The sequence below is a fragment of the Homo sapiens genome, chromosome X (assembly GCF_000001405.40).
Source record: "Homo sapiens chromosome X, GRCh38.p14 Primary Assembly".
Taxonomy (NCBI): domain Eukaryota; kingdom Metazoa; phylum Chordata; class Mammalia; order Primates; family Hominidae; genus Homo; species Homo sapiens.
In genome coordinates this window covers 119,538,035-119,565,697 of record NC_000023.11, presented here as the reverse complement: position 1 = coordinate 119,565,697, position 27,663 = coordinate 119,538,035, and the positions used below count along the sequence as shown (strand labels likewise).

Genomic DNA, 27,663 nt, shown 5'->3' with positions numbered 1-27,663 from the left:
TATATACATATGTGTATATATACATATAAATGCATGCGTTATAGAAATGTAAAGAATTTATATAATATTAAGGGTGTTGTGAGAAAGCCCACCAATCTTCATTGAGAAGTGACTCCCAGATCACAGGAGTCCCAGCTAACTTGGCCAAGACAAAGTAGGTTCTGGGAGGCTCCAGGCGCACCCCCGTATATCTTAGCCTGATAGGACAGCCCGGAAGTTTATAAGACTTCTGCTAACACGTGACCAGCGTAGCCACAAGGAAAAGGTGCAAGGCGCACTCGTGACGTCATTTCGGGGCGACCCTCTTCTTGGCGTAGAGTTTTCAGATTGCTCTTGGGAATCATGCCGAAAGTAGTGTCTCGGTCAGTAGTCTGCTCTGACACTCGGGACCGGGAGGAATATGACGACGGCGAGAAGCCCCTCCATGTTTACTACTGTTTGTGCGGCCAGATGGTCCTAGTGCTGGGTGAGTAGCCGGGAACTGCGGGGGCGTCTGCAAGGAGCCAGACTTCGGGTTCTTGAAGGCGAATTTCCTCTGGCTGTGATCTGGGAGCCACTTCTCAACGAAGATTGGTGGGTTTTCTCTCTCCGACTAAATCCTCCCTACGCATCCCCGCCCCACTCCAGGGCATTTTTTTTTTTCCTGCTTTTTGTTTAGCCTTGTGACTCTGTATCCAGACCTTCCTCAAAACTAAACTCCTTCAGGAGAACAAAAATAGAAACACAAACATATTGTATTTCCCTCTTAATCCACTGTCTTCAAAAACTACTGCCTCTAGAAGCTTTATAACTTTTCTGCTGGATACCAAGATGCTGCAGTTGCTCTTACCTCACAGCAAACGAAAATAAAACCCTCCCTCGATCCTGTATTCCCCTCCAGCTATAACCCCATTTCGTTGCTTCTTTTATAGCAAAGCTTCTCAAAAGAGTTGCCTATATTGGCTGTCTCTGCATCCTGACTTCTAATTCTCTCCTGACCTCACTTCAGGTAGGCTTTCCTTCCCACCTCATCATCTTAACCGTATTTGGCTCCATGTTAACAGTTCTAGTGGTCAGTTATCAATGTTCATTTTAATTCTGTCAGTGGCATTTGACAGAGGTAATCATTTCATTCCTTTTGCAACATGTTTTTTATTTGCTTCCAAGACTCCATACTCACTTGATTTTCCTCCTACCTCGTATTTCCCCCCCCCCTTTTTTTTCAGATGGAGTCTCACTCTGCTGCCCAGGCTGGAGTGCAGTGGTGCAATCTCGGCTCACTGCAAGCTCTGCCTCCCGGATTCAAGTGATTCTCCTGCCTCAGCCTCCCGAGTAGCTGGGATTACAGGCGCCCGCCACCATGCCCGGCTAATTTTTGTGTTTTTAGTAGAGACGGGGGTTTCACTACGTTGGCCAGGCTGGTCTCGAACTCCTGACCTCGTGATCCACCCGCCTCGGCCTCCCAAGGTGCTGGGATTACAGGCGTGAGCCACCGCGCCCAGCCTTAGATTTTTCCCCTTGTCTGGCTCCCTTTTCTCTCTCAGACTTTTAGGCATTCCAAGGCCCTATAGCTCAGTACTCTCACCTGTTCTCACTCTGTACCCACCCCCTAGGTGATCTCATTCATTCCCAAGCTTTAAATACAACTGACATGCTGGTAACTCCCAGATGTTCATCTTTAACCTGCACCTCTCCTGAGACTCCAATTGCCTATTCAACATCTCCACTTGAATGTCTAATGGGCCTCTCAAATATATCGTGCTGAAAATTGAGTTCATGACCCTCTACACCCCCTCTCCAATTGCTCCTCTTATAGTCATCCCTATTGCAGTCAGTAGTACAACTATTCATCCAGTATCTCAGACCAAAACCTGGAATCAGTCTTGACTTCTGTCTGTCACGTACCTTACATCTGTCCAGTCCATCAGGAAATCCTGCAGGTGCTTTCGTGAAAATGTATGCAGGATCTGACTGCTTCTTACCACCTCCATTCCTTTTTCTTTTTGAGACAGAGGGAGTCTCACTCTGTCACCCAGGCTGGAGTGCTGTGGCGCGGTCTCAGCTCACTGCAACTTCCGCCTCCCAGGTTCAAGCGATTCTCCTGCCTCAGCCTCCCAAGTAGTGTGCGCCACCAGGCCCGGCTAGTTTTTTTTTTTTTCTTTTTTTTTTTGAGATGGAGTTTCGCTCTTCTTGCCCAGGCTGGAGTGCAGTGGTGCGATCTCGGCTCACTGCAACTTCCACCTCCCAGGTTCAAGCGATTCTCCTGCCTCAACCTCCCTAGTAGCTGGGATTACAGGCATGTGCCACCACGCCCGGCTAATTTTGTATTTTTAGTAGAGATGGGGTTTCACCATGTTGGCCAGACTGGTCTTGAACTCCTGACCTCAAGTGATCCACCCACCTAGGCCTCCCAAAGTGCTGGGATTACAGGCATGAGCCACCACGGCCGGCCTACCACCTCCACTTCTAACACTGTAGTCCAAGCTACTACCATCTTTCACCTGGATTGGCACAATAGTCTCTTGCTCTCGTTGCTTCCACTCTTTTCCACATAGTAGCCAGAGTCCTGTTCAAAACCAATGGTTTCATATAACACTGAGAATAAAACCAAAGTCCATCCATACCAAGACCCTTGATCAGGCCTGTGGCTACCTCTCAGGCTTCATTCCCTAACAGTCTTCCTCTTGCTCATCGCACTTCAGCCACAGTGGCCTTTTTGCTTTTTCTCCATCATGTCAAAAGTGTTCCTGCCCCCCAGTGCCTTTTTAATTGGTATTTCTTCTGCCCCAAAAACTTTTCCCTCAATCCCTCCCTTACTTCATTCAGGTCTCTGCTAAAATGTAATTTCCTTAGAGAACCCTTCCCTGATTACCTTATCTAAAACAGCATCCCTGTCACTTTGTCCTCTTACCCTGCTTAATATTTAGCACTTATCATTACCCAAAATCATATTATAATTATTTTAAAATATGTTGCCTCTTCCACTAGAATGTAAGCTTCATCAGGGCCGGAACTTTTTTTTTTTTTTTTTGAAACAGTGTCTAGCTCTTGTAGCCCAGGCTGGAGTGCAATGGTGCGATCTCACCTCACTGCAACCTCTGCCTCCCAGGTTCAAGTGATTCTCTTGAGTAGCTGGGATTACAGGCACCTGCCACCATGTCTGGCTAATTTTTTTTTTTTTTTTTGAGACGGAGTTTCGCTCTTGTTGCCCAGGCTGGAGTGCAGTGGCACCATCTCGGCTCACTGCACCCTCCGTCTCCTGGGTTCAAGCGATTCTCCTGCCTCAGCCTCCCGAGTAGCTGGGATTACAGGCATGCACCACCATGCTCAGCTAATTTTGTATTTTTTTAGTAGAGACAGGGTTTCTCCATGTTGGTCAGGCCGGTCTCAAACTCCCGACCTCAGGTGATCCGCCAGCCTCGGCCTCCCAAAGTGCTGGGATTACAGACGTGAGCAACCGCACCCGGTTAATTTTTGTATTTTTAGGAGAGACGGGGTTTCACCATGTTGGCCAGGCTGGTCTCGAACTCCTGACCTCAGGTGATCCACCTGTCTTGGCTTCCCAAAGTGCTGGGATTACAGGCGTGAGCCACCGTGCCCGGCCAGGGCGGAGACTTTATCTGCTTTGTTGTTTGCTGAATCTTTAGCACAGTGTTAGAACAGTGCCTGCTACCTAGAGGGCCCTCACGTATTTATCGAAGAAATTAATTCTTGGTAAGGAGGTGTGGTGGAAACAGCATGTGCTTTTGAATCACTTAGAGTTGGGTCTGAATTCTTGTTCTGCTTCTTATTAGATGCATGGTATATCTCTTACCCTTTTTAACCTCAGTTCCTTCATCTTTAAAATAGGAACAACAAATCTTTACTTTAACCATTCATTGTGAAGAGTAAATGAGCTGACATGTAAACTGCCTAGTGTTCTCTAACTCCTCTCTTCACCTCCTCTATTCATCTTGAATTACTCTGACCACTTGACTTTCTCTGTGATCCTTTAGGTGCTTAATTTGCATTATATAAATTTTCTTTTTTTTTCTTTTTTTTTTCTTTTGAGAGACGGAGTTTTCCTCTGTTGCTCAGGCAGGAGTGCAGTGGTGTGATCCCAGCTCACTGCAACCCTCTGCCTCCTGGGTTCAAGCGATTCTCCTGCCTCAGCTTCCCAACTAGCTGGGACTACAGGTGTGTGCCACCACGCCCTGCTAATGTTTGTATGTTTTAGTAGAGACGGTTTCGCTATATGTTGGCCAGGCTGGTCTCGAACTTCTGACCTCAGGTGATCCACCTGCCACCTCAGCCTCCCAAAGTGCTGGATTACAAGCGTGAGCCACCGCACCTGGCCCATTATATCAATTTTCAATCTGCTTTACAACTGTACCTAATTTGTTTACTGTGTTTTCATTGTTTTCAGATTAAAATTCCTCCAACTAGGATGGATCATTTGCATACTATATAATCACCCTCTCTCTTCCTTTTTTTTTGTTTTTTGACGGAGTCTCGCTCTGTTGCCCAGGCTGAAGTGCAGTGGCACAATATTGGCTCACTGCAACCTCCACCTCCTGGGTTCAAGCAATTCTCTCGCCTCAGCCTCCCAAGTAGCTGGGCCAGGCTGGTCTTGAACTACTGACCTCAGGTGATCTGCTCGTCTTGACCTCCCAAAGTGCTGGGATTACAGGCATGAGCCACCTCGCCTGGCCTCTTTTTTTTTTTTTTTTGTAAAACAGAGACAGGGTCTTGCTGTGTTGCCCAGGCAGGAGTACAGTGGCTATTCACAGGCACAATCATGGAACACTACAGCATTGCACTCCTGGTCTCAAGCAATCGCCCTGCCTCATTCTTCTGAGTAGCTGGGACTATAGGTGCATGCCACCACGCCCAGCCTCTCTCCTTTTCTTAGCACATACCCACTTTTCCCAGTGCTTCCTTGTAGGCATTCCAGTATGCTTGATTGTGTCTCCTGATTCTAATGCATTATAACACAAACCAAGTGTACTATGATCACAGAAATACTTACAGAAACCTGAATTGCAGTATTGGGAAGGACTTTTGAGATAATATCATCTAACTCATCTTTCAAATGAGGCAAAAGTCTCCAAAGGAGGAAGTGATTTGCCAAAGATCACCAGGGTAGTAAGAGAGCTGGGTCCAAATACCAAGGTCTCCTGATAGCAAGTCATTTTTAGTTGGAACATTCAATAATAGGTTTCAATAAGCATAGTAATTGTAGTAGAAAATTCTAGTGCTAGGGATCCCACTCAAAACTTCTCAGGATATTTTGCAGTGACTCATTTGCTATATTTTGCCATGACTCTAGTGACCAAATCTCTCCATTCCTTCAGACTGCCAGTTAGAGAAATTGCCCATGAGGCCCCGGGACCGGTCCCGTGTGATTGATGCTGCCAAACATGCCCATAAGTTTTGTAACACAGAAGATGAGGAGACTATGTATCTGCGGAGGTAAGAGGTTGATGCTCCCTGTTTAGGATTTCCCTATTGTGTTGGAGTCTGTTTCTGAATAATATAAATATCACATCTATTGTTGAACAGGTCAGTTGGTCCCAATACTTTGACATTTGTGGTGGTTTTCTAACTTCTGTTAATGTAGTAATATCTTTATTGTGCTTTGTTGAAATGGTGCTCACATGTGATTCCATTGCTTTTTTTTTTTAATTGAGATGGAGTCTCACTCACTCTGTTGCTCAGGCTGGAGTGCAGTGGTGTGACCTCGGCTTACCGCAACCTCCACCTCCCAGATTCAAGCAACTCTCTTGCCTCAGCCTCCCCAGTAGCTGGGATGACAGGCGTGCGCCACCACGCCCAGCTAATTTTTGTATTTTTAGTAGAGACGCAGTTTCACCATGTCGGCCAGGCTGGTCTTGAACTCCTGGCCTCAAGTGATTCTCCCTCCTTGGCCTCCCAAAGTGCTGGGATTACAGGCATAAGCCACTGTGCCCGGCCCCTCCATTGCCATTTGATAGCCGTAGTTTGTTTACAATTTACAGGTTTGAATGAGTTCATTCAACCTGTAATCTTGTGGAGCATACCGTGTGCCAGGCACTGAGCTAGGTACTGGATCTGTGAAGATGAATAAGGTATGATTTTTACCATTAAAGAGCTCATGACTTTGAGGGAATGACTCCTATTGTGATAGGAAAAAATACTGGTCTTCTGAACGAAAGGAAAAACAGGTGGGAGTGGGTCATTTGTCCTGAATGGTGGCCAGGAAAGGCTTCAAAAGATGATGGCATTTGTGTTTAGCCTGAACTAGGATTTCACCAAGTAGATGAAGGGAATGAAGAGCATTCCAGGTGGAAGGAATATGGAAGCATTAAAAGCATCAAACATGGTGTGCTTTAGAAACCTGAATTGTCGTTTGTGACTGGAGCACAGGTTACTTTACAGGAACGGCATCATGCATACTAGGGTGAGGACAGAGTAAAGTGCTGAAGTGGACAAGTTTGGCCTTAATCTGTAGGCAATGAAGAGCCATCTCCGTTTTTTTTTTTTTGACGGAGTTTCGCTCTTGTTGCCCAGGCTGGAGTGCAATGGTGTGATCTTGGCTCACTGCAACCTCCGCCTCCCAGGTTCAAGCGATTCTCCTGCCTCAGCGTCCTGAGTAGCTGGGATTTCAGGCACCTGCCACCACGCCTGGCTAATTTTTTGTATTTTTAGTAGAGATGGGATTTCACTATGTTGGCCAGGCTGGTCTCGAACTTCTGGCCTCAGGCGATCCACCTGCCTCTGCCTCCCAAAGTGCTGGGATTAGAGGGGTGAGCCACTGCGCCCGGCCTATCTCTGTTTTTTAAGCAGGGGTGTGATGTGGTTAGCTCTGTTTTAGATTTGGGAGTTTGGTATATATGGGAAATTGAAACCTGGGAAGGGATAAAATTACAGAGTGTGGAGCAAGCAGATAGGACTGAATATTTAAAAGGCAGACAAAAGAATTGGAACAGAACCAGAAGAACCTGGTGATGCAGAAAATAGGAGAGAGTATCAAGAAGTGTGTGGGGGTGTGGCTAGGGGACGGTCAGCAGCAGGTGCTAGAAGTCATGGAAAGGTCAATCCTAGGGAATTAAAAAATCCATCCATTCATGCAACAAATATTTCATTTACCGAGCTCCTACTATGTTCCAGGTACTATCCTAGAAGTCTGGAATATATACCAGTGTATTAGTTTTCTTTTTTTTGGAGACGGAGTCTCGCTCTGTCACCCAGGCTGGAGTACAGTGGCGCGATCTCGGCTCACTGCAAGCTCTGCCTCCCAGGTTCACGCCGTTCTCCTGCCTCAGCCTCCCGAGTAGCTGGGACTACAGGCGCCTGCCACCATGCCCGGCTAATTTTTTTTTGTATTTTTAGTAGAGACGGGGTTTCACCGTGTTAGCCAGGATGGCCTCGATCTCCTGACCTCGTGGTCTGTCTGCCTTGGCCTCCCAAAGTGCTGGGATTACAGACGTGAGCCATCGTGCCCGGCCGCCAGTGTATTAGTTTTCTAGAGCTGCCATAGTAAAGTACTACAGCCTGGGTGTGGTGGCTCACGCCTGTAATCCCAACACTTTGAGAGGCTGAGGTGGGTGGATCACTTGAGACCAGGAGTTCGAGACCAGGCTGGCCAACGTAGTGAAACCCCATCTCTACTAAAAATACAAAAATTAGTTGGGCATGGTGGCGCGTGTGCCTGTAATCCCAGCTACTCGGGAGGCTGGGATAGGAGAATTGCTTGTATGGGGAGGCAGAGGTTGCAGTGAGCTGAGATTGTGCCACTGTACTCCAGCCTGGGCGACAGAGTGAGACACTGTCTCAAAAAATAAAAAAAAAATAAAGTACTACAAATTGGGTGGCCTAAAACAAGAGAAGTTGTTTAATAGTTGTGGAGGCTAGAAGTCTGAAATCAAGGTATTGGTAAGTCCATGCTCTCTCTCAAGATTGTAGGGGAGAATCCTTCCTTGCCTCATTCCTGGTTTTTGGCGTTTACCAGCAATCCTTGGCATTCCTTGGCTTGTATTGTAAATGCATCACTCCAGTCAGTGCTTGTATCATCACATGGCATTCTCCCTTTGCCTGTTCTTTTCTTATAAGGGCACCAATCATATTGGATTAAGGGCCCATCCTCCTCCAGTATGACATCATTTTAACTTAACTAATTATGTCTGCAACATCACTATTTCCAAATAAGGTCACATTCTGAGGTTCCTGGATGGATGTGGATTTTTTTTTCTTTTTTCTTTTTTCTTTTTTTTTTTTTTTTTGAGATGGTGTGTGCTACCATGCCTGGCTAGTTTTTGTGTTTTTAGTAGAGATGGGGTTTCACCATGTTGGCCAGGCTGGTCTCAAACTCTTGGACTCAAGTGATCCTCCCACCTCGGCCTCCCAAAGTGCTGGGATCACAGGCATGAGCCACTGTGCCCGGCCAGAATGTGAATTTTTAAGGGTCACTATCTAACCCAGTACAACCAGTAAACAGCAAAGAATCCTGCCCTTATGAAACTTTAGTGTTGAACCAGAAAAAAACTATAGGCTGACATCTAGCTACATGTTTTCTTTCTTTCTTTTCTTTTTTTTTTTTTTTTTTGAGATAGAGTCTCGCTCTGTCACCCAAGCTGGAGTGCAGTGATGCGATCTCAGCTCACTGCAACCTCTGCCTCCTGGGTTCAAGTGATCCTCCTGCCTCAGCCTCCCATGTAGCTGGGATTACGGTTGTGCACCACTATGCCTGGCTAATTTTTGTATTTTTAGTAGAGACAGGGTTTCAACACGTGAAGCTGCTCTTGTGAGCCTCCTTCTCCTTCTTTGGCCTTCTCAATCCTTTGGATTCTTTTTCTTCTGCCTGCCCCTCAAGTATTGGTATTCCATGCGGTTCTGACCTTGCTTTTGTCCCCACTCTCTTTATGCCTTCCTTGGGCATTCTTGTCACCTTACATGGCATTAGTTACACTTTTATGCTGATGATAAAATCTAAATCTGCCTACTGTGCCTTCCTGTGTCCCAGAACTGTATAGCCAGTTGCCTACTCTACCTCTTCACCTGATGTCCTACTTTTCAGATCCAACATGATGAAGGCCAAACTTATCATTTCTCTACTGTGGACAGTACCACAGATCGATTCGCTCAGCACCACTCTGACACTCTTTTTTTTTTTTTTTTTGAGACGGAGTCTCGCTCTGTCACCCAGGCTGGAGTGCAGTGGCGTGATCTCAGCTCACTGCAAGCTCCGCCTCCCGGGTTCAGGCCATTCTCCTGCCTCAGCCTCCTGAGTAGCTGGGACTACAGGTGCCTGCAACCACGCCCGGCTAATTTTTTGTGTTTTTAGTAGAGACGGGGTTTCACTGTGTTAGCCGGGACGGTCTCGATCTCCTGACCTCGTGATCCGCCCACTTCGGCCTCCCAAAGTGCTGGGATTACAGGCGTACTCTGACACTCTTCTGCTACACCCTCCTATACACGAGTGTCTGTAAAGTTAGGGTGCATATTCCAGTCCCCTTCCCCCCAACAACTAAGATTCTGAATATGACTTAGCTTTGGCCAAGCAAAAGAGATGGAAGTAGATGTCAGCTGATGGGTGACTTCAAGCCTTTTTTACCCTTTATCCTTATTCCATCCTGCTTCTTGGGAAATGGACATGATAATTGGAACACTAGCAGCCAGCCTGGAACTGGGAAGGAGAGGCCACAAGAATTGCAGAGCCTTTGCCCTGCTATCCTTGGGTCTCAACCAGTGCTCAGAACTGCCTTCCTCCTGATGTTACATGAGAGAACAAGCTCTTTTGTTGAAGCCATTGCAGTCAGGTCTCTATTACTATTAGCCAAATGCTAGTCCTTCTTTTCCTTCTTCTTATGATGACACCAGGATTCATGCAGTGGCCCCAGCCAGAAATCTAGGAGTCAGTCTCTCTTTGTCTCATCTGTCCCCACCATCCCACCATCATCCCCTGCATACATCTAGTCACTCACCATGTACTGTCGATTCTGCCTTCTAATCTCTTTTGTGGCTGCTGCCTCCTGTTCAGCCCTGCTGCACTGCCGTTATTTCAGTACCCAAAATCACTTACTTAGACTACTGAAGTGGCCTCTTACCTGGTCTTTTGGTCTCTAGTTTTGCTCTCCTCCAGTCTATCCTCTACTGCTTGAATTATCTGAAATACACATTATGTCAGTCACCTGCTTCAAATCTGTTAGTGACCCTTCATCACTTATAGCAATGCCTTTGAAACATTTTTAGATGAAAAATCCTTTCTTTAATTAAATTCTTACCCAGAAGTATAAATAAGACTGATAAGCAGAAAGCTGCTCTGAGTGGGGAGGAGTCTAGCCCAATCCATTAAGGACTCCTCCTTCCTCCCCATCTGATTTCATTTAGGGATCATTGTGGAGTACAAGGAAAACACTCCTAGTTGGCTGGATAAAAATATAAGCCTGAATGCGCTCTATGATCTGTCCATCTTCATCTTCTGGTACTCTCTTGATTTTTTTTTTTTTAAAGAACAAACATTTATCATTTTATGTATTTTCTGTGGGTCAGGAATTCAAGAGCAAGCTTAGCTAGGTGATTCTGGTCTCTCATGAAGCTGCGATTAAGAAGATGACTATGTAAACAGTCATCTGAAGTCTTTTTTTTTTTTTGAGGCAGGGTCTCACTCTGTCACGCAGGCTAGAGTGCAGTGGCACAATCACAGCTCACTGCAGTCTCGATCTCCTGGGCTCAAGTGATCCTCCCACCTCAGCCTCCTGAGTAGCTGGGACCATAGGCATGTGCCACCATGCCTGGCTAATTTTTAATTTTTTTTTGTAAAGACAGGGTCTTCCTATGTTGCCCAGGCTGTTCTTGAACTCCTAGGCTCAAGCAATCCCCCTGCCTTGTCCTCCCAAAATGCTGGGATTACAGGTGTGAGCCACCGTGCCTGGCCTGAAATCTTGATTAGGGCTGGAGAGTCATCTTCCAAGGTGTCTCATATGGTAGGCAGTTGAGTGCTAACTGTTGGCAAGAAGCCTCAGTTTCTCAACACAGGGATCTTTCCATAAGGCTGCTTGAGTATCCTCATGACATGGCAGCTGGCTTCCCATAATGTAAGTAATTCAGGAGAGCAAGGCAAAAGCCGCAATGTGTTTTATGGCTATGACTCAGAAGGCACACACAGTTGTTTCTGTGATGTCCTTTTGGTGTCACAAGTCAGCGCTATTCATTGTGGGAGGTGACTATACAAGGGTGTTAGTACCAGGGACAAGGATCATTGGGGGCCACCTTAGAGGCTAGCTACCACAGCCAGAATGGAGAATTTTTTTTCTTGAGATGAAGTCTCACTCTGTTGCCCAGGCTGGAGTGCAGTGGCGCAATCTTGGCTCACTGCAACCTCCACCTCCTGGGTTCAAGTGATTCTCCTGCCTCAGCTTCCCGAGTAGCTGGGATTACAGGCATGCACCACCATGCCTGGCTAATTTTTGTATTTTTAGTAGAGACGGGGTTTCACTGTGTTGGCCAGGCTGGTCTCGAACTCCTGACCTCAAATGATCCACCCGCCTTGGCCTCCCAAAGTGCTGGGATTACAGGCGTGAGCCACCGTGCCCGGCCGAGAATGTTTTGTTTTGTTTTTGGTCACAGAGTCTTCCCTATCTCATATATTCCTTGAGATTCAGGATAGGAAAGAAAATCAAGGTCAATTATCCCAAACATCTAGCTCATATTAATCACTTCTTTAAGTCATACCACTTGAAATTCTTACCTCATTTACATTAAAGTCTCACTATTTCAATAAGATGAACTTTTTGAGAGCAGGAACCCTGCCTTATTTTTCTGAAACCCTTAGGACAGACATCTTGCCTGCTTCTTGGCACATAGTTAGAAATAGATACATTTTTATAAACTTGACAAAATCCAGTTTGTCATTGGTACTTGAAGATTAACTCATTGAGAAATATGCGGCCCCATTTATTTGATATTTCTATGTGTTTTGAAAGCTTGAACTTACGGGATTGGCCGACTTCAGGATTCTAGGGGAAGTTCATTCTCTGTATGGTGAATCTCTCCCTTCAGTATGGGGTTGAATTTAGTCCCAGTGGGACCAGAGAGGGTATATAGAACCAAAAATATTATTAGTGCCCTGGTCCAGTGATGTCAATGAATTGGAGCACCTTTGACATAAGTAATACTTGTAAATGGAGAGGCAGAACATTAAAGATGATGGTCAGCACAGTCTGTATAGTTATATCCCAAGCAGTACCACTTTGTGACTTTGGGCAAGTAATCTTTTAGGCCCCCAATTTCCTTATCCTTCAATTGGGAAAATAATACCCATGTGTTGTCAAAGAGCAACTGGAAGTCTCCTACAGTACCAGAAAGACCACAAATAGTTATAATGACTTTGGAAAGTACTTTGGCAACATCCAGTATAGCTAAAGGTGCATATAATGTGTGCCTTATAAATTCTGCTTTTCATGTACACCTTAGCAAAGTGATTCTCAACCTTTGCTGTGTGCCAGAATCATCTGGAGGAGTTTTTTGTTTGTTTGTTTGTTTTAATGCGAATGCCTCAGCTTTACCCTCAGAGATTTCGTTTCTGTTTTCCACTTTTTTTTTTTTTTTGAGACAGTCTCACTCTGTTACATAGGCTGGAGTGCAACGGCGCGATCTCCGTTCACTGTAACCTCCGCCTCCCAGGTTCAAGTAATTCTTCCACCTCAGCCTCCTGAGTAGCTGGGATTACAGGCACCCGCCATCATACCTGGGTAATTTTTGTAGAGACAGGGTTTCACCATGTTGGCCAGGCTGGTCTTGAACTCCTGACCTCAGGTGATCTGCCCACCTCAGCCTCCCAAAGTGCTGGGATTACAGGTGTGAGCCACCACACCCAGCCGAGATTTAGTTTCTTTTAAATTGAGTTATAGTCTACATACCATAAAAGTCACCATTTTAAAGTGTATGATTCAGTGGTTTTAGTATGTTTGCAAGATTGTGCAAAAGATTGGACACCTCTGCCCTAGAGAAAGGAATGCTGCACAGAGGCCAAGAAAAGTCTGAACAGACAGGCCTTGCTGGATTTAGATAATGTGCTTTTTGTCCAATCACATTTCTACATGGTTGTCAATCATGCCTCTGTAACAAAGCTTCCATAACAACCCAGGAGGACAGGGTTTGGGAGGCTTCTGGATGGCTGAATATGTGGAGGTTCCTGAAGGGTGGCGTGTCCAGGGAGGGCATGGAAGCTCCACGCCCCTTGCCCCTTAGCTCACCCTGTGCATCTCTTCTCTGTATCCTTTGTGATATCCTCTGTAGTTAACTGGTAAACATTAACTATTTCCCTGAGTTCTGTGAGCTGCACTAGCAAAGTAATCGAACCCAAAGAGGGGGTCGTGGGAACCCCAACTTGAAGCTGGTTGGTCAGAAGTTCTGGAGGCCTGACTAGGCATGGCGGCTCATGCCTGTAATCCTAGCACTTTGGGAGGCCGAAGCGGGCAGATCACTTGAGGTTAGGGGTTCCAGACCAGCCTGACCAACATGGCGAAACCCTGTCTCTACAAAAAAGTTGCAAAAATTAGCCGGGCAGCCAGGTGCGGTGGCTTATGCCTATAATCCCAGCACTTTGGGAGCCTGAGGCAGGTGGATCATGAGGTCTGGAGATTGAGACCATCCTGACCAACACAGTGAAACCCCATCTTTACTAAAAATACAAAAAATTAGCTGGGCGTGGTGGTGCGCACCTGTAGTCCTCAGGAGGCTGAGGCAGGAGAATCGCTTGAACCTGGGAGGCGGAGGTTGCAATGAGCCAAGATGTGCCACTGCACTCCAATCTGGGTCACAGAGTGAGACTCAGTCTTAAAAAAAAAAAAAAAAAAAGTTTTGGAAGCCTGGACTTGCGACTGGTATCTGGTTAGTGGCCGGTCTTGGGGACCAAGCCGTCAACCTGTGGTATCTGACGCTGTGTCCGAGTAGACAGTGTCAGAACTGAATTGGAGGACACCTAGCTGGCATCCATTTATTGGAGTGTGGGGAAAAACCCACACACATTTGGCCACAGAAGTCTTCTTCTGTGTTGAAGGTTGTTGTTGTGGTGTGAGATCAGAGGAAAAACCCAGGTTGACAGAGTTTTTCCCAAACAGCTGGCATTCACCAATAAACCATCTGCCTCAGTTGTACTGCCTGCCTGCCCGCTTCCTCGTTCCTCCCTCATCTCTGCCCTGGCCAGTTAAGTTGGAGGGGAACCTTAGGAAGGACAGGGGAAACAGAGGAAGTAGAAATTCTTTTTTTTTTTTTTTTGAGACAGAGTTTTGCTCTTGTTGCCCAGGCTGGAATGCAGTGTTGCAATCTCGGTTCACTACAATCTCCACCTCCAGGGTTCAAGCGATTCTCCTGCCTCAGCCTCCCAAGTAGCTGGGATTACAGGCACGTACCACCATGCCCGGCTAATTTTTTGTATTTAGTAGAGATGGGGTTTCACCATGTTGGTCAGGCTGGTCTTGAGCTCCTGACCTCAGGTGATCCACCTGCCTTGGCCTCCCAGAGTGCTGGGATTACAGGTGTGAGCCGCCGCACCTGGCCCCCATTTTTAAATTGGTGTATTTGTCTTTCTGTTGTTGAGTTGTAAGAATTCTATGTTATGCATACTAGTCCCTTATCATATATATGATTTGCAAATATTTTCTTTCATCCTGTGAATTGTTTTCTCACTTTTTTGATGATATTCTTTGAAGCACACAAGTTTTAAATTTTTATCATCCCATATATCTGATTTTTTTCTTCCATTGCTTGTGCTTTAGGCATCATATCTAAGAAATGGCCAGGCGTGGTGGCTCATGCTTGTAATCCTAGCACTTTGGGAGGCCGAGGTGGGTGAATCATTTGAGGCCAGGAGTTTGAAACTAGCCTGGCCAACATGGCGAAACCCCATGTCTACTAAAAACACAAAAATTAACCATATGTGGTGGTGCACACCTGTAGTCTCAGCTGCTCGGGGCTGAGGTAGGAGAGAATCGCTTGAACCTGGTAGGTGGAGTTTGTAGTGAGCCAGCCAAGATCGTGCCACTGTACTCCAGACTGGGTGACACAGCCCGAATCTGTTTCAAAAATAAAAGAAGAAATGTTTGCCTAATCCAAGCATATGAAGATTTGCAGCTATGTTTTCTTCCAAGAGTTTTATAATTTTACTTCTTACATTTAGGTCTTTCATTCATTTTGAGTTAATTTTTGTATATAGCATGAGGTAGGGGGCTAAATTCATCCTTTTGCATGTGGCTATCTAGTTTTCCCAGGACCTTTTGTTAAAAAGACTGAGTTTTTCCCCCTTAATGGTCTTGGCACCCTTGTTGAAAATCAGTTAACCATATATGTATGGGTTTATTTTAGACTCTCAGTTCTATTCCATTGACCTGTATGTCTGTCCTTATACCAGTATCACCCTGTCTTTATTACTATAGCTTTTTAGTCAATTTTGAAATTGGGAAGTGTGAGTTCTCCAACTTTGTTCTTGTTTTTTCAAGATTGCTTTGGCTCTACTGGATTTCTTCCAATTGCATATTAATTTTAGGATCAGCTTAAATTTCTGTGAAAAAGCCAGCTGGGATTTTGAAAGGGATTGTGTTGAATCTGGAAATTCATTCGAGGAATATTGCCACCTTAACAATATTAAGTCTTCCAATCCATGAACATCAAAATGTGTTTACATTTATTTAGGTCTTCTTTAATTTCTTTTGGTAATACTTTTTAGTTTTCAGTGGACATTTCTTGCACTTCTTTTGTTAAATTTATTCTAGGTGTTGAATAGAAGTAGTGAGAGTGGCATCTTTATCTTGTTCCTGATTTTAGGGGGAAAGCTTTCAGTCTTTCACTATTAAGTATGATGTTAGTTTATGTGGTGCTATGATTTGAATGTGTTCCCCAAAAGTTCATGTGTTGGAAACAATCTGTCTGCCCTATGAATGGATTAATGAGGCTCTGCTCTTATGCATGGATTAACGTTGCTGTCATGTGAGTAGGTCTGTTATTGCAGGAGCGGCTTTGTTTTAAAATCGAGCTTTCTCATACTTACTTGCCCTTCTGCCGTGTTATGATGCAGCACGAAGGCCCTTGCCCAATGCCGGAGCCATGCTCTTATGCTTCCCAGCTTTCAGAACTGTGAGAAATCAATCTCTTTTATTTATAAATTATCCAGTCTGTGGTATTATGTTACAGTAACAGAAAATGCACTAAGACGTGGGTAAACAGATGGGGGTTTTTCAGAGATGCCCTTTATTAGGTAGAGGAAGTTCCCTTCTATTCTTAGTATATTGAAGGGGTTTTGACTTTTGTCAAGTGCTTTTTCTATGTGTCTATTGAAATGATTATGTTTTTCTCTTTCCTTCTATCAATATGATGTGTTAATTTTTTTAGCTTTATTGAGGTATAATTGACAAAAATTGTATATGTTTAAGGGATACAGCTTGATATTTTGATATACATATACACTGTGAAATGATCACCACAATTAAGCTCATTAATGTATCTATCACCTCACAGTTACCATTTTCTTTGTGTGTGTAGGTAGTGAGGATACTTAACAAATTTAGAATGTACAATACAGTATTGTTAACTATAGTTATGATGCTGTACATTAGATCTCCAAAACTTACTCATCTTGCGCAACAGAAACTTTATATCCATTGGACAACAACCTCCCATTTCCTCCACCTTCAGCCCCTGGCAATCACCATTCTACTCTCTGCTTCTATGAGTTTGACTATTTTGGATTCCACAAACAAGTGAGATCATGTAGTATTTGTCTTTCTGTGTTTGGCTTATTTCATTTAGCATAATGTCCTCCAAGTCCATCCATATTATCACAAATGGCAGGATTTCCTTCTTTTCATAAGGCTGAATAATGTTCTGTTGTGTGTGCATGTGTGCGTGCGTGCCACCTTTTCTTTATCCATTTAGCCATTGATAGACATTTAGGTTGCTTCCATATCTTGGCTGTTGTGAATAATGCTGCAATGAGCATGAGAGTGCACATATCTCTTTGAGATACTGAACTCATTTCCTTTGGATATATACCAAGAAGTGGGATTGCTGGATCATAGGGTAGTTCTATAATTTTCTGAGGAATCTCCCATACTGTGTTCCATAATGGCTGTACTAATTTACATTTTCACTAGCAGTATATAAGGGTTCCCTTTTCTCCACATCCTCCCTAACATTTAATTTTTGTCTTTTTTTTTTTTTTTTTTTTTTTTGAGACAGAGTCTTACTCTGTCACCAGGCTGGAGTGCAGTGGTGCAATCTCGGTTCACTGCAACCTCTACCTCCCGGGTTCAAGTGATTCCCCTGCCTCATCCTCCCTAGTAGCTGGGACTACAGGCGCATGCCACCATGCCTGGCTAATTTTTTGTATCTTAGTAGAGATGGGGTTTCACCATGTTGGCCAGGATGGTCTCGATCTCCTGACCTTCGTGATCCGCCTGCCTCGGCCTCCCACAGTGCTGGGATTACAGGCGTGAGCCACTGCACCTAGCCTTGTCTTTTTGATAACAGCCATTCTAACTGGAATGAGAGGATATCTCATTATGGTTTTTTTGTTTGTTTGTTTGTTTGTTTGAGACAGGGTCTTGCTCTGTTGTCCAGGCTGGAGTGCAGTGACGCAATCTTGGCTCACTGCAACCTCTGCCTCCCAGGTTCAAGCGATTCTCCTGTGTCAGCCTCCCAAGTAGCTGGGATTACAGGCATGTGTCACAACACCCAGCTAATTTTTGTATTTTTAGTAGAGATGGGGTTTTACCATGTTGGCCAGGCTGGTCTTGAACTGCTGGCCTCAAGTAATCTGCCCGCCTCGGCCTCCCAAAGTGCTGGCATTACAGGTATGAGCTACCACGTCCGGCCCTCATTATGGTATTGATTTGCATTTCCCTGATGATTAGTCTTTTCATATACCTGTTGGCCATTTGTATGTCTTGGAGAAATGTCTGTTCAGGTCCATTGCCCATTTAAAAAATCAGGTTATTTATTTATTTGCTATTGAATTGTATGAATTATTATGTGAGAAAAGAAGATTGGTTTGACCACAGAAAAACCTAAAATTTCCACATGGTGGAAAAAGTCAAAGACAAATGACAAACTAGAGAATAAACAAGGCCCCTTAATTATTGCAAGTTTCCTTAATATAAAATTAAAAGGTAACTGAATAAACAAAGGACATGAACTAACAGTTCAAAACAAAGAAAATGCAAATGACTATTAAATATATGAAAAGATGTGTAACTTTACTCCTAAAAAAAGAAATTCAAATTAAAAGATTCCATTTTTCACATGTGAGAATGGCAGTGATGCAATTTAACGGCATCCAGTGTTGGTGAGACTGTAGGGAAACAGGAACTCTCAGTATATTGGTAGTGTGAGTCTAAATTGGTTCAACTTCTATAGAGAGAAATTTGGCAGCATCTACCAGAATTTAAAATGTACACACTTCTAGGAATTTGTCCAACACGTAAAAGACATTTTGGTTTATCTATACAAAGGAATACAATGCGGTCCTTGTAAAGAATGAAGTAACTCTTTATCTATTGATATGGAATATATATATATATTTAACCAAGTTATATTTTTAAGTGAACAAAAGTAGAGAACAGCGTACATTTGTCTAAAAAAGGAAAAAAATATTTTCTTTATGTACCAGTCAGAGTTCTTTGCTTATATATGCATCAGCTATCTCTAGGATGAACAGAAGAAACCAGAAACAGTATTTGCCTCTGGGGAAGGGAACTGGGTGGGTGGAGGATGAGTAGGGAAGATATTTTTTGTTTTATACTCTTATGTATACCATATGCATATATTGCCTATTACAAAGTTGAAACAAGGGGAGGGGAAGTGAAGAGACCAGTCAGGACCGTTTGTTACAGTCGTCCAGGGAGTTGATAATGGTGGTGTAGGCTAAGATAGTGGCAGGAACGTGGAGACAAGCAGACAGATTCAAGGTCTTTTCTTGGAGATAAAAATCCATAGAATTTGCTGATGAAGTAAGTGTGGGAGATGAGGGGAAGAGAAGAATCAAGGATGAGTCCCAGGTTTCTGTTAAACAGCCGTGTGGGTGGAATTGAGTCCTTGTGTATATGACTTGGTGTCTAAGGTGGTATTGTGTGGGCTCTTGAGCTTGACTGCCTGGGCTTAAATTCAACCTCTGCTTCCTAGCTCCACGACTTTGGGCAAGCCATGTAATACTCTGTGGGCCTAGGTTCTTCATTCATAAAGTGGGAATAATAATATGACATACCTCACAGAGTTGTTGTAAGGATTAAATGAGTTAATACATGTATACTTTTTTTTTTTTTTTTTGAGATGGAGTCTCGTTCCGTCACCCAGGCTGGAGTGCAGTGGCGTGAACTCGGCTCACTGCAGCCTCTGCCTTCCAGGTTCAGGTGATTCTCCTGCCTCAGCCTCCTGAGTAGCTGGGATTACAGGCATCCGCCACCACGCCCAGCTAATTTTTATATTTTTAGTAGAGACGGAGTTTCCCCATGTTGGCCAGGATAGTCTCGAACTCCTTACCTCAAATGATCCACCCACCTGGGCCTCCCAAAGTGCTAGGATTGCAGGCGTGAGCCACCGTGCCCAGCCGAGTTAATACATGTATACTTTAGAATAGCTCTTGGCACATAGTAAAGGGTTTATAAGTGGTTGCCGCTATTATTGTTGTTGTTATTACTACAACTACTATTGCTACCTATGATTATGACTACACTGCTCCTCCTCTTCCTCTTCCTTTGTCAGGGAGATACCTGACCTGTATCAGGGGCTCCATAAATGTTTGTTGCAGGAAGGGAGGAATGTTGAACCAATGAGTTGACCTATGAAATGAAAACTTTTTTTTTTTTTTTTTTTTGAGACGGAGTTTCACTCTTGTTGCCCAGGCTGGAGTGCAATGGCTCGCTCTCGGCTCACCGCAACCTCCGCCTCCCAGGTTCAAGCAATTCTCCTGCCTCAGCCTCCCGAGTAGCTGAGATTATAGGCATGCACCACTGCGCCCGGCTAATTTTGTATTTTTAGTAGAGACGGGGTTTCCCCATGTTGAGGCTGGTCTCGAACTCCTGACCTCAGGTGATCCGCCCGCCTCAGCCTCCCAGAGTGCTGGGATTACAGGCGTGAGCCACCGTGCCCGGCCCCCAAATGAAAACTTTTGAAAGGGCCTCTTAGCGTTTGAAGAAATGGGATAGTAAGGTTGATACATAATGAGATTTGTTCATATCTTTTTAACTTCCATTTTCTGTGCAGACCTGAAGGCATTGAACGACAGTACAGGAAGAAATGTGCAAAGTAAGTATTAACAATGTGGGTTTCTCCAAGCATAGGCAAGTAGAGGCATAATGTGTTAGGAAAATAATTATTTGGATACAACTCTCCATTATGTCTTTTTTTTTTTTTTTGAGACAGAGTCTTGCTCTGTCGCCCAGGCTGGAGTGCAGTGGTGCAATCTCAGGTCACCTTAACCTCTGCCTCCTGGGTTTAAGCGATTCTCCTGCCTCAGCCTCTCTAGTAGCTGGGATTACAGGCACATGCCACCATGCCTGGCTAATTTTTGTATTTTAGTAGAGACAGGGTTTCAACATGTTGGTCAGGCTGGTCTCGAACTCCTGACCTGAGTTCATCCGCCCACCTCAGCCTCCAAAACTGCTGGGATTACAGGCCTGAGCCACCTCGTCCGACCCCCATTATGTCTTTATCCTTATCAACTGCCTTCAGACTTCAACTATGCACAAATACCAATATGTTCCCCAAAGAGGCTAGTCAAAGTTGTATCTTTGACCAGCTGGCCAGAAAAATGAATTTTTTTTTTTGAGACAGAGTCTTGCTCTTGTTGCCCAGGCTGGAGTGCAGTGGCATGATCTCCACTCACTGCAACCTCCACCTCCCGGGTTCAAGCAGTTCTCCTGTGTCAACCTCCCGAGTAGCTGGGATTACAGGCACCTGCCACCATGCCTGGCTAATTTTTGTATTTTGAGTAGAGATGGGGTTTTGCCATGTTGGCCAGGCTGGTCTTGAACTCCTGATCTCAGGTGATCCACCTGCCTCGGCCTCCCAAAGTGCTGAGATTACAGGCGTGAGCCACCACGCCCGGCCTAAGTGATTCTTATCAGGTAGAGGTAGTTTTGGGAGACACTGAGAAGAGCCAGTCATTAGTTTATGCCACAAACAGAAATATTCCCAGAGTCTAAGCACACTTTGCAAATTGCTGTTTTGGGAATTTGGATTATGAGACCTCGCAGAAATTCACTGTGTCATTGCAGGTGTGGACTGCCGCTCTTCTACCAATCCCAGCCAAAGAATGCTCCTGTTACCTTCATTGTGGATGGAGCAGTAGTCAAGTTTGGCCAGGGCTTTGGGAAAACGAACATATATACTCAGAAACAAGAGCCTCCTAAGAAGGTAATTACCATTGAAGGAGAGACTGCTTAATATAGCTCTAGATTTAGCTCATGTTTTGAAATAAGATTATAGTGATGAGAAACTGCTCTTTATGGATGTATTCTTTTTATTTCTTTTTCTTTTTTTGTCTTTTTCTTATTTTATTTCTTTTTTCTTTATGGATATATTCTTATACTTTATTTTTATTTTTTAAAAGTTAAAAACGATTTGGGGGGTATATAGATGCACATATTTATGGGGTACATGAGATATTTTGATACAGGTATGCAATGTGTAATCACATCATGGAAAATGGGGTATTCATCCCCTCAAGCATGTGTATGGATGCATTCTTTATTAATCGGGTGCCATTTTTGTGTATAAACAGATGCTATGTAATTGTAACACCTGTTATGTGTTCTCTCTTTCCTACAGTTGCCTCATGACTAAGGTTAGAAATTGTATGGTTTTTACTCACATTAATTTCCTTCAAATTTTCTTCTTTTTATGGAGAGATATCATGTGTTATTTTACAAATTTTTTTTTGAACAATTAAAAACAATGAATTAGGCTAATTAAAAAATATATTCCAAGCTGGGCATGGTGGCTCATGCCTGTAATCCCAGCACTTTGGGAGGCAGAAGTGGGAGGATCACTTGAGGCCAGGAGTTTGAGACCAGCCTGGGCAGCACGGCGAGACCCTATCTCTACAAAAAAAAGTAAATTGGCTGGGTGTGATGGTATTCACCTATAGTTCTAGCTATTCAGGAGACTGAGGCGGGAGGATCACTTTAGCCCAGGAGTTTGAGGTTACAGTCAGCTATGATTGTGCCACTGCACTCCAGCCTGGGTGACAGTAAGACCCTGTCTCTTAAAAAAAATTAATTGGCCGGGTGCAGTGGCTCACTCCTGTAATCCCAGCACTTTGGGAGGCCGAGGTGGGCGGATCACCTGAGGTCAGGAGTTCGAGACCGGCCCGACAAACATGGAGAAACCCCGTCTCTACTAAAAATACAAAATTAGCTGGGCATGGTGGTGCATGCCTGTAATCCCAGCTACTCAGGAGGCTGAGGCAGGAGAATCGCTTGAACCCAGGAGGCAGAGGTTACGGAGCCAAGATTGCACCATTGCACTTCAGGCTGGGCAACAATAGTGAGACTCCATCTCAAAAAAAAAAAAGTAATTAAAAATAAATTTTAAGAACCCATGATGGACCATGCATAGTGTCTCTCGCCTGTAATCCTAGCACTTTGGGAGGCCAAGGCAGGAGGATTGCCTGAGGCCAGGAGTTGGATACAAGCCTGAGACATTAAGCGTTAAGGATGCTTTTTTATACCTTCTGTCCTTCTTTTTTTTTTTTTTTTTTTTTTTTTTTTGCGAGACCCAGTCTCTACAAAAATGTAAAATTAGCCAGGCGTGGGGGCATATGCCTGTAATCCTAGCTACGTGGGAGGTTGAGGCAGGAAGATCACTTGAGCCCAGGAGTTTGAGGTTGCAGTGAGCTATGATTGTGCCACTGTATTCCAGCCTGGGCAGCAGAGTGAGATGCTATTTCAAAAAAATAAAGTAAATTAAAAAAAAATAAGAGCCTTTGATGGCAAATGTTAGAAAAATATGTAAATAAAAACATTGGCACTTTTAAATAGGTCATCCTGTCCCAAAGAGGTAGTGTTTCCCCCAATACCCACAGCCCCTCACACAGGCGTGTGCGCACACACTCACGGCTCATGGATCCTGTTTTGGTGAACCGGACTGACTTCTTCTTGCCTGCCACTCCAGGTGATGATGACCAAACGGACCAAAGACATGGGCAAGTTCAGTTCTGTCACCGTGTCTACCATTGATGAAGAGGAAGAGGAGATTGAGGCTGTAAGTGTCTCTGGTCTTAAGGAAACTGGAATTTGGGGAGAAGGGTACGAGGAAAGGGGACTCTAGAGCGGGAGCCTTGGAGTAGTGGAAATATTAGAGACTTCACTTTTAGACCCTGCTCTGCTGATAAGAAACTATGGGCTGGGTGTGGTGGCTCACGCCTGTAATCCCAGCAGTTTGGGAGACCGAGACGGGCGGATCATAAGGTCAGGAGATCAAGACCAGCCTGGCCAACATGGTGAAACCCCGTTTCTACTAAAAATACAAAAAATTAGCCGGGCGTGTTGGTGCGCGCCTGTAATCCCAGCTACTCGGGAGGCTGAGGCATGAGAATCGCTTGAACCCGGGAGGTGGAGGCTTCAGTGAACCGAGATTGCGCCAGTGCACTCCAGCCTGGGGACAGAGCGGGTCTCTGTCTCAAAAAAAAAAAAAAAAAAAAAAAAAAAAAAGAAAAGAAAAGAAACTCTGACAGTGAGCCAGTTCCTGTTTCCTTGAATCTCAGGGACATCTGTAAAATGAAAACGAAGGAGTTGGATGTTGAATGAGATCAGTGATTTTTTCCTCCATGCTATTTTTAGAGATGCCTTAGAGGGCAAAGTGCTCATCCCTCTTAATTTGAGAAACTACTGGACTGAAAGATTTCAGTTTCCTTCCAGCCCAACTCGTGGTTTGTGAGTCTGTCCTCAGTAGTAGTAGCAATTACCTTTATGGTTCTTCAGTATAACGATATTGATGGCAAGATGTCATCTGCTGTTTTACATATGTTTTGGTTAAAACGTAAATGCTACTGAAGAATCACTTGAACCCGGGAGGTGGAGGTTGCAGTGAGCCAAGATTGTGCTACTGCACTCCAGCCTGGGCAACAGAGTCAGTCTCTGTCTCAAAACAAACAAACAAACAAGCAATCAAACAAAATACCCTAAGTGCTCCTGGATTACTGAAAAGATGGAGAATGGAAAAGGAACAGAGTCCTGCCATTTTAGTCATGATTTCATGATTTGAGTAGTATACATTATGACTTAACGTCTTTGTTGTTATTCCTTGGTGAGACTTCCGGTTTAAGGATGCTCCTTTTTTCCTTCAGAGGGAAGTTGCTGACTCATATGCACAGAATGCCAAAGTGATTGAAAAACAGCTGGAGCGCAAAGGCATGAGCAAGAGGCGACTGCAAGAGCTGGTGAGTAGCAAGGGGTAGCAAGGTGCTGGGGCCCTATCATTTGGATGTCTTGGTCTGAAAGACCTTTCAGCAGGCAGGGAAATCTTTTAGGAAATCTGTTGGGAGGTTTTAGAGTAGTTGGCTGCCAGTTTTATAACCCTGGTCTGTGACTGTCAGTATACCCTACTCTGTAGTAGTGACCCCAGGATCTAGGCCTTAAATGATGATACTTGTTATAGCCCTAACTAGGATGATATTTTATTTTCTGTATTTTATTTTTATTTTATTTATTTATTTATTTTGGAGCTGGAATCTCACTTTGTCGCCCAGGCTGGAGTGCCGTGGCGTGGTCTCAGCTCACTGCAACCTCCGCCTCCCGGGTTCAAGGGATTCTCCTGCCTCAGCCTCCTGAGTAGCTGGGACTACAGGCACGTGCCACCACACCTGGCTAATTTTTGTATTTTTAGTAGAGATGGGGTTTCACCATGTTGGCCAGGCTGGTCTCGAACTCCTGACCTCAGGTGATCTGCCCGCCTCGGGCTCCCAAAGTACTGGGATTTCAGGCGTGAGCCACCACGCCAGGCCAGGATGATATTTTAATCTGCTTCTTGTGGTCCAAGATCAGGAGTTAAAGGTCAGGGTTTCTGGACGTTGTCCCAGGATGTAATGGCACATGATAGGGCTACCTTGGTAGTACCAGGATTGGGGCTGGTCATTGCTTCTTAAAGCACTGGTGGTTTTCTGCACTATTCATGGGCTCATCTTAGAGCATATGGATCTGTGTATGATGGTGCCTATGTATTTTTTTTTGACAATTACTTAAAATATTTCATCAAAATCAGATATCACTATGTTGGTGTCTCATCCAAAGGTATACCAGTCTCTTTGTGTCTGTAGTGAGTTTTTGGTGACAGAAGTGGTGGGTCCTGGGAGCTGCTTTACCTTGCCATAGTCGTTTAGAACAGTGCTTCTCAACCTTTCAAAGGCAGAAAGACCAGTGCTTTCCTTTTTTCAAATTTCCATGAACAGATTTGTAATTTATAAAATACAATAAAAATGAATTGTCTCAATTTTTATCAGATTTTAAAAATTACTATTGTGTCAAATTGCTATAAAAGCTTCTAAATGCTTACTATCCATTTTTGTACATATTTTGTGTGGACCAATAACAAATAGTTCATAGACCATATAACTTTAAGTAGCACTGTTGTAGAATGATGTTCTTCCTGTTCTGCCAAGAATAGCATACTGGTATGCCACAGTATTGGTTCCCTCAGCCTGTGGGGGGCGCTGGGGCTGCTGGAATCCCTGCGCTGATTTCCTGTGGCCACAGCCTTGTCTTTTTGCCCATTTTGCCTACAAATAGCATTTTTTGTGTATGTGCTATAACATCAGAAAGGTTGGAAAGTAGATGTTAGAGGTATATAATGATTTGGGAACCATGATTCTAGTTTGTACACTAAATGAACATTAAGGGAGAGTGTTTGGGTTGGTTAGAATAAGGAAGGAAAATAATTTCATGTCATGTATCAAGACATATGCTTTTTTTTTCTTTCTAGGCTGAATTGGAAGCCAAGAAAGCGAAAATGAAGGGGACCTTGATTGACAACCAGTTCAAATAACCAGGCCTTTTTCTAAGCCCTAGACTAGAGGCAAGCATTTAGATCAGGAGGCAAAGTAATTTCTTGATTACATAGACGGATTCCTATTTATGCCCTAGCAGAAGGCTTTACGTTGTTTCCCATTGATTCTCCTACATTCAGTGAGGTCTTTAACTGAGTCCATTTAACTTGCTTTCTTTTTTTTTTTTTTTTTTTTGAGATAAAGTCTTGCTCTTTCGCCCAGGATGGAGTGCAGTGGTGCGATCTCGGCTCACTGCAACCTCCGCCTCCCGGGTTCAAGCAGTTCTCCTGCCTCAGCCTCCTGAGTAGCTGGGATTACAGGCATGTGCCACCACGCCTGGCTAATTTTTGTATTTTTAGTAGAGACGGGTTCCACCATGTTGGCCAGGCTGGTCTCCAACTCCTGACCTCAAATGATCCACCCACCTAGGCCTCCCAAAGTGCTGGGATTACAGGAGTGAGCCACCGTGCCCAGCCTTGCCCTGCTTTCTAGGAGATGGAGTTTTCTGAATTTTTCTGTATTTAGGTTTTCTGTACTATTTTTTGTCCACTTGATGCAAACTTCTTCAGCTGTGTAGAAACTTTATGAATAGATGAGTGCTTGAGTGTCTCCAGTCTCTAAAGTGGCTGCTTTTATTCTTTCTTCAAAGTTAATAACATGTTGCAAGATTTTTGGACAAAATATTATGGTGTGTCATAGGAAAAGCACCATGAATTATATTTAGGTATAGCAAGTCAGATCCTTTGAAGTGACTCTGTCTCTGTTCTTAGAAGGGTTCTTGGAATTGGCTGTGGTTTGAATCTTTCTACTGTCAGAGGAGACCCATTAAAAGCCAGAATCTGCATAAAGCTTTCTTTACTTCAAACACTGAAGCTGTAGGCGAGCCATCCCGTATCGACTTTATACTCAAAGAAGGAAAAGCCAGATTGCAGTGAGTGGGTAGGACAGCTCAGATCCAAATGAAAGTAGGGTCTCAAGTAACCCAAGGGTGGCCGGGTACGGTGGCTCACGCCTGTAATCCTAGCAGTTTGGGAGGCAGAGGCGGGCAGATTGCCTGAGCTCAGGAGTTTGAGACCAGCCTGGGCAACATGGTGAAACCCTGTCTCTACTAAAATACAAAAGAAATTAGCCAGGTGTGGCGGCATACCCCTGTAGTCACGGCTACTTGGGAGGCAGAGGCAGGAGAATTGCTTGAACTCGGGAGGTGGAGGTTGCAGTGAGCTGAGATTGCACCACTGTACTCCAGCACTCCAGCCTGGGCGACAGAGTGAGACTCTGTCTCTACAAAAAAAAAAAAAAAAAAAAGTAACCCAAGGGAGGGAGCTACCCTCTAGTCGGGCAGCTGATACTGCTTCCTTGCATGGATACATGGGAGGGAGACGTTATAGATTAAGAAATGATAGCAAGATAAACAAAATGATTTGTTGGGTATCTTTTACTTTACATTTGTTATTTGCAGAGGAGTGTTGTATATATAGATGTTATTTTATGTCACACTGCTTCAATGATACCTATATCCATGTGTTTGTATCCATGTTTTTATCCATTCAACTGTATTAAAAGGTGTTGGGACAGGAGTTGTGTTAACCTTCTTGTATTATCTACAAAAAGTTGCACTTAGTAGGTGCCCAAGGCAGGTTCGTGAGGTGCTACCGGGAGATGATAGTAGGATAGTAGGGCAGGTTTTTTTT

The 27,663-nt window shown here is 44.3% G+C and overlaps 1 protein-coding gene across 3 annotated transcripts, besides 2 other annotated features; it reads left to right on the top strand.

The window, feature by feature from the left end:
- STEEP1 (STING1 ER exit protein 1) lies at nt 289–27,549 on the top strand. Of its 3 annotated transcripts, none has more exons than NM_022101.4 (7): nt 289–466; nt 5,313–5,430; nt 20,194–20,235; nt 21,207–21,345; nt 23,104–23,193; nt 24,278–24,370; nt 25,909–27,549. In NM_022101.4, exons 1-7 carry the CDS (start codon nt 343–345, stop codon nt 25,969–25,971), a joined length of 669 nt encoding a protein of 222 aa, NP_071384.1. In that variant the 5' UTR covers nt 289–342; the 3' UTR covers nt 25,972–27,549. The 3 variants fall into 3 exon arrangements, with proteins under 3 accessions (NP_071384.1, NP_001164040.1, NP_001164041.1); NM_001170569.1 differs by having other exon boundaries at nt 289–573; NM_001170570.2 differs by lacking the exon at nt 20,194–20,235.
- Nucleotides 22,987–23,486: an enhancer, noted in NCBI's record as "H3K27ac hESC enhancer chrX:118676175-118676674 (GRCh37/hg19 assembly coordinates)". NCBI's record gives its function as "activates a minimal SCP1, AML or CMV promoter by ChIP-STARR-seq in naive H9 embryonic stem cells {active_cell/tissue: H9 hESC(naive)}" and the evidence as "EXISTENCE:reporter gene assay evidence [ECO:0000049][PMID:30033119]".
- Nucleotides 23,487–23,988: an enhancer, noted in NCBI's record as "H3K27ac hESC enhancer chrX:118675673-118676174 (GRCh37/hg19 assembly coordinates)". NCBI's record gives its function as "activates a minimal SCP1, AML or CMV promoter by ChIP-STARR-seq in naive H9 embryonic stem cells {active_cell/tissue: H9 hESC(naive)}" and the evidence as "EXISTENCE:reporter gene assay evidence [ECO:0000049][PMID:30033119]".

What these genes read in the sequence shown, in the direction of transcription:
- STEEP1 (NM_022101.4), top strand. Translation starts at nt 343, where the DNA reads ATGCCGAAAGTAGTGTCTCGGTCAGTAGTCTGCTCTGACACTCGGGAC. An exon ending in AACAAGAGCCTCCTAAGAAG is followed by an intron (nt 21,346 to 23,103) that starts GTAATTACCATT and finishes CTGCCACTCCAG; the next exon opens with GTGATGATGACCAAACGGAC. An exon ending in AGGAAGAGGAGATTGAGGCT is followed by an intron (nt 23,194 to 24,277) that starts GTAAGTGTCTCT and finishes TTTTTCCTTCAG; the next exon opens with AGGGAAGTTGCTGACTCATA.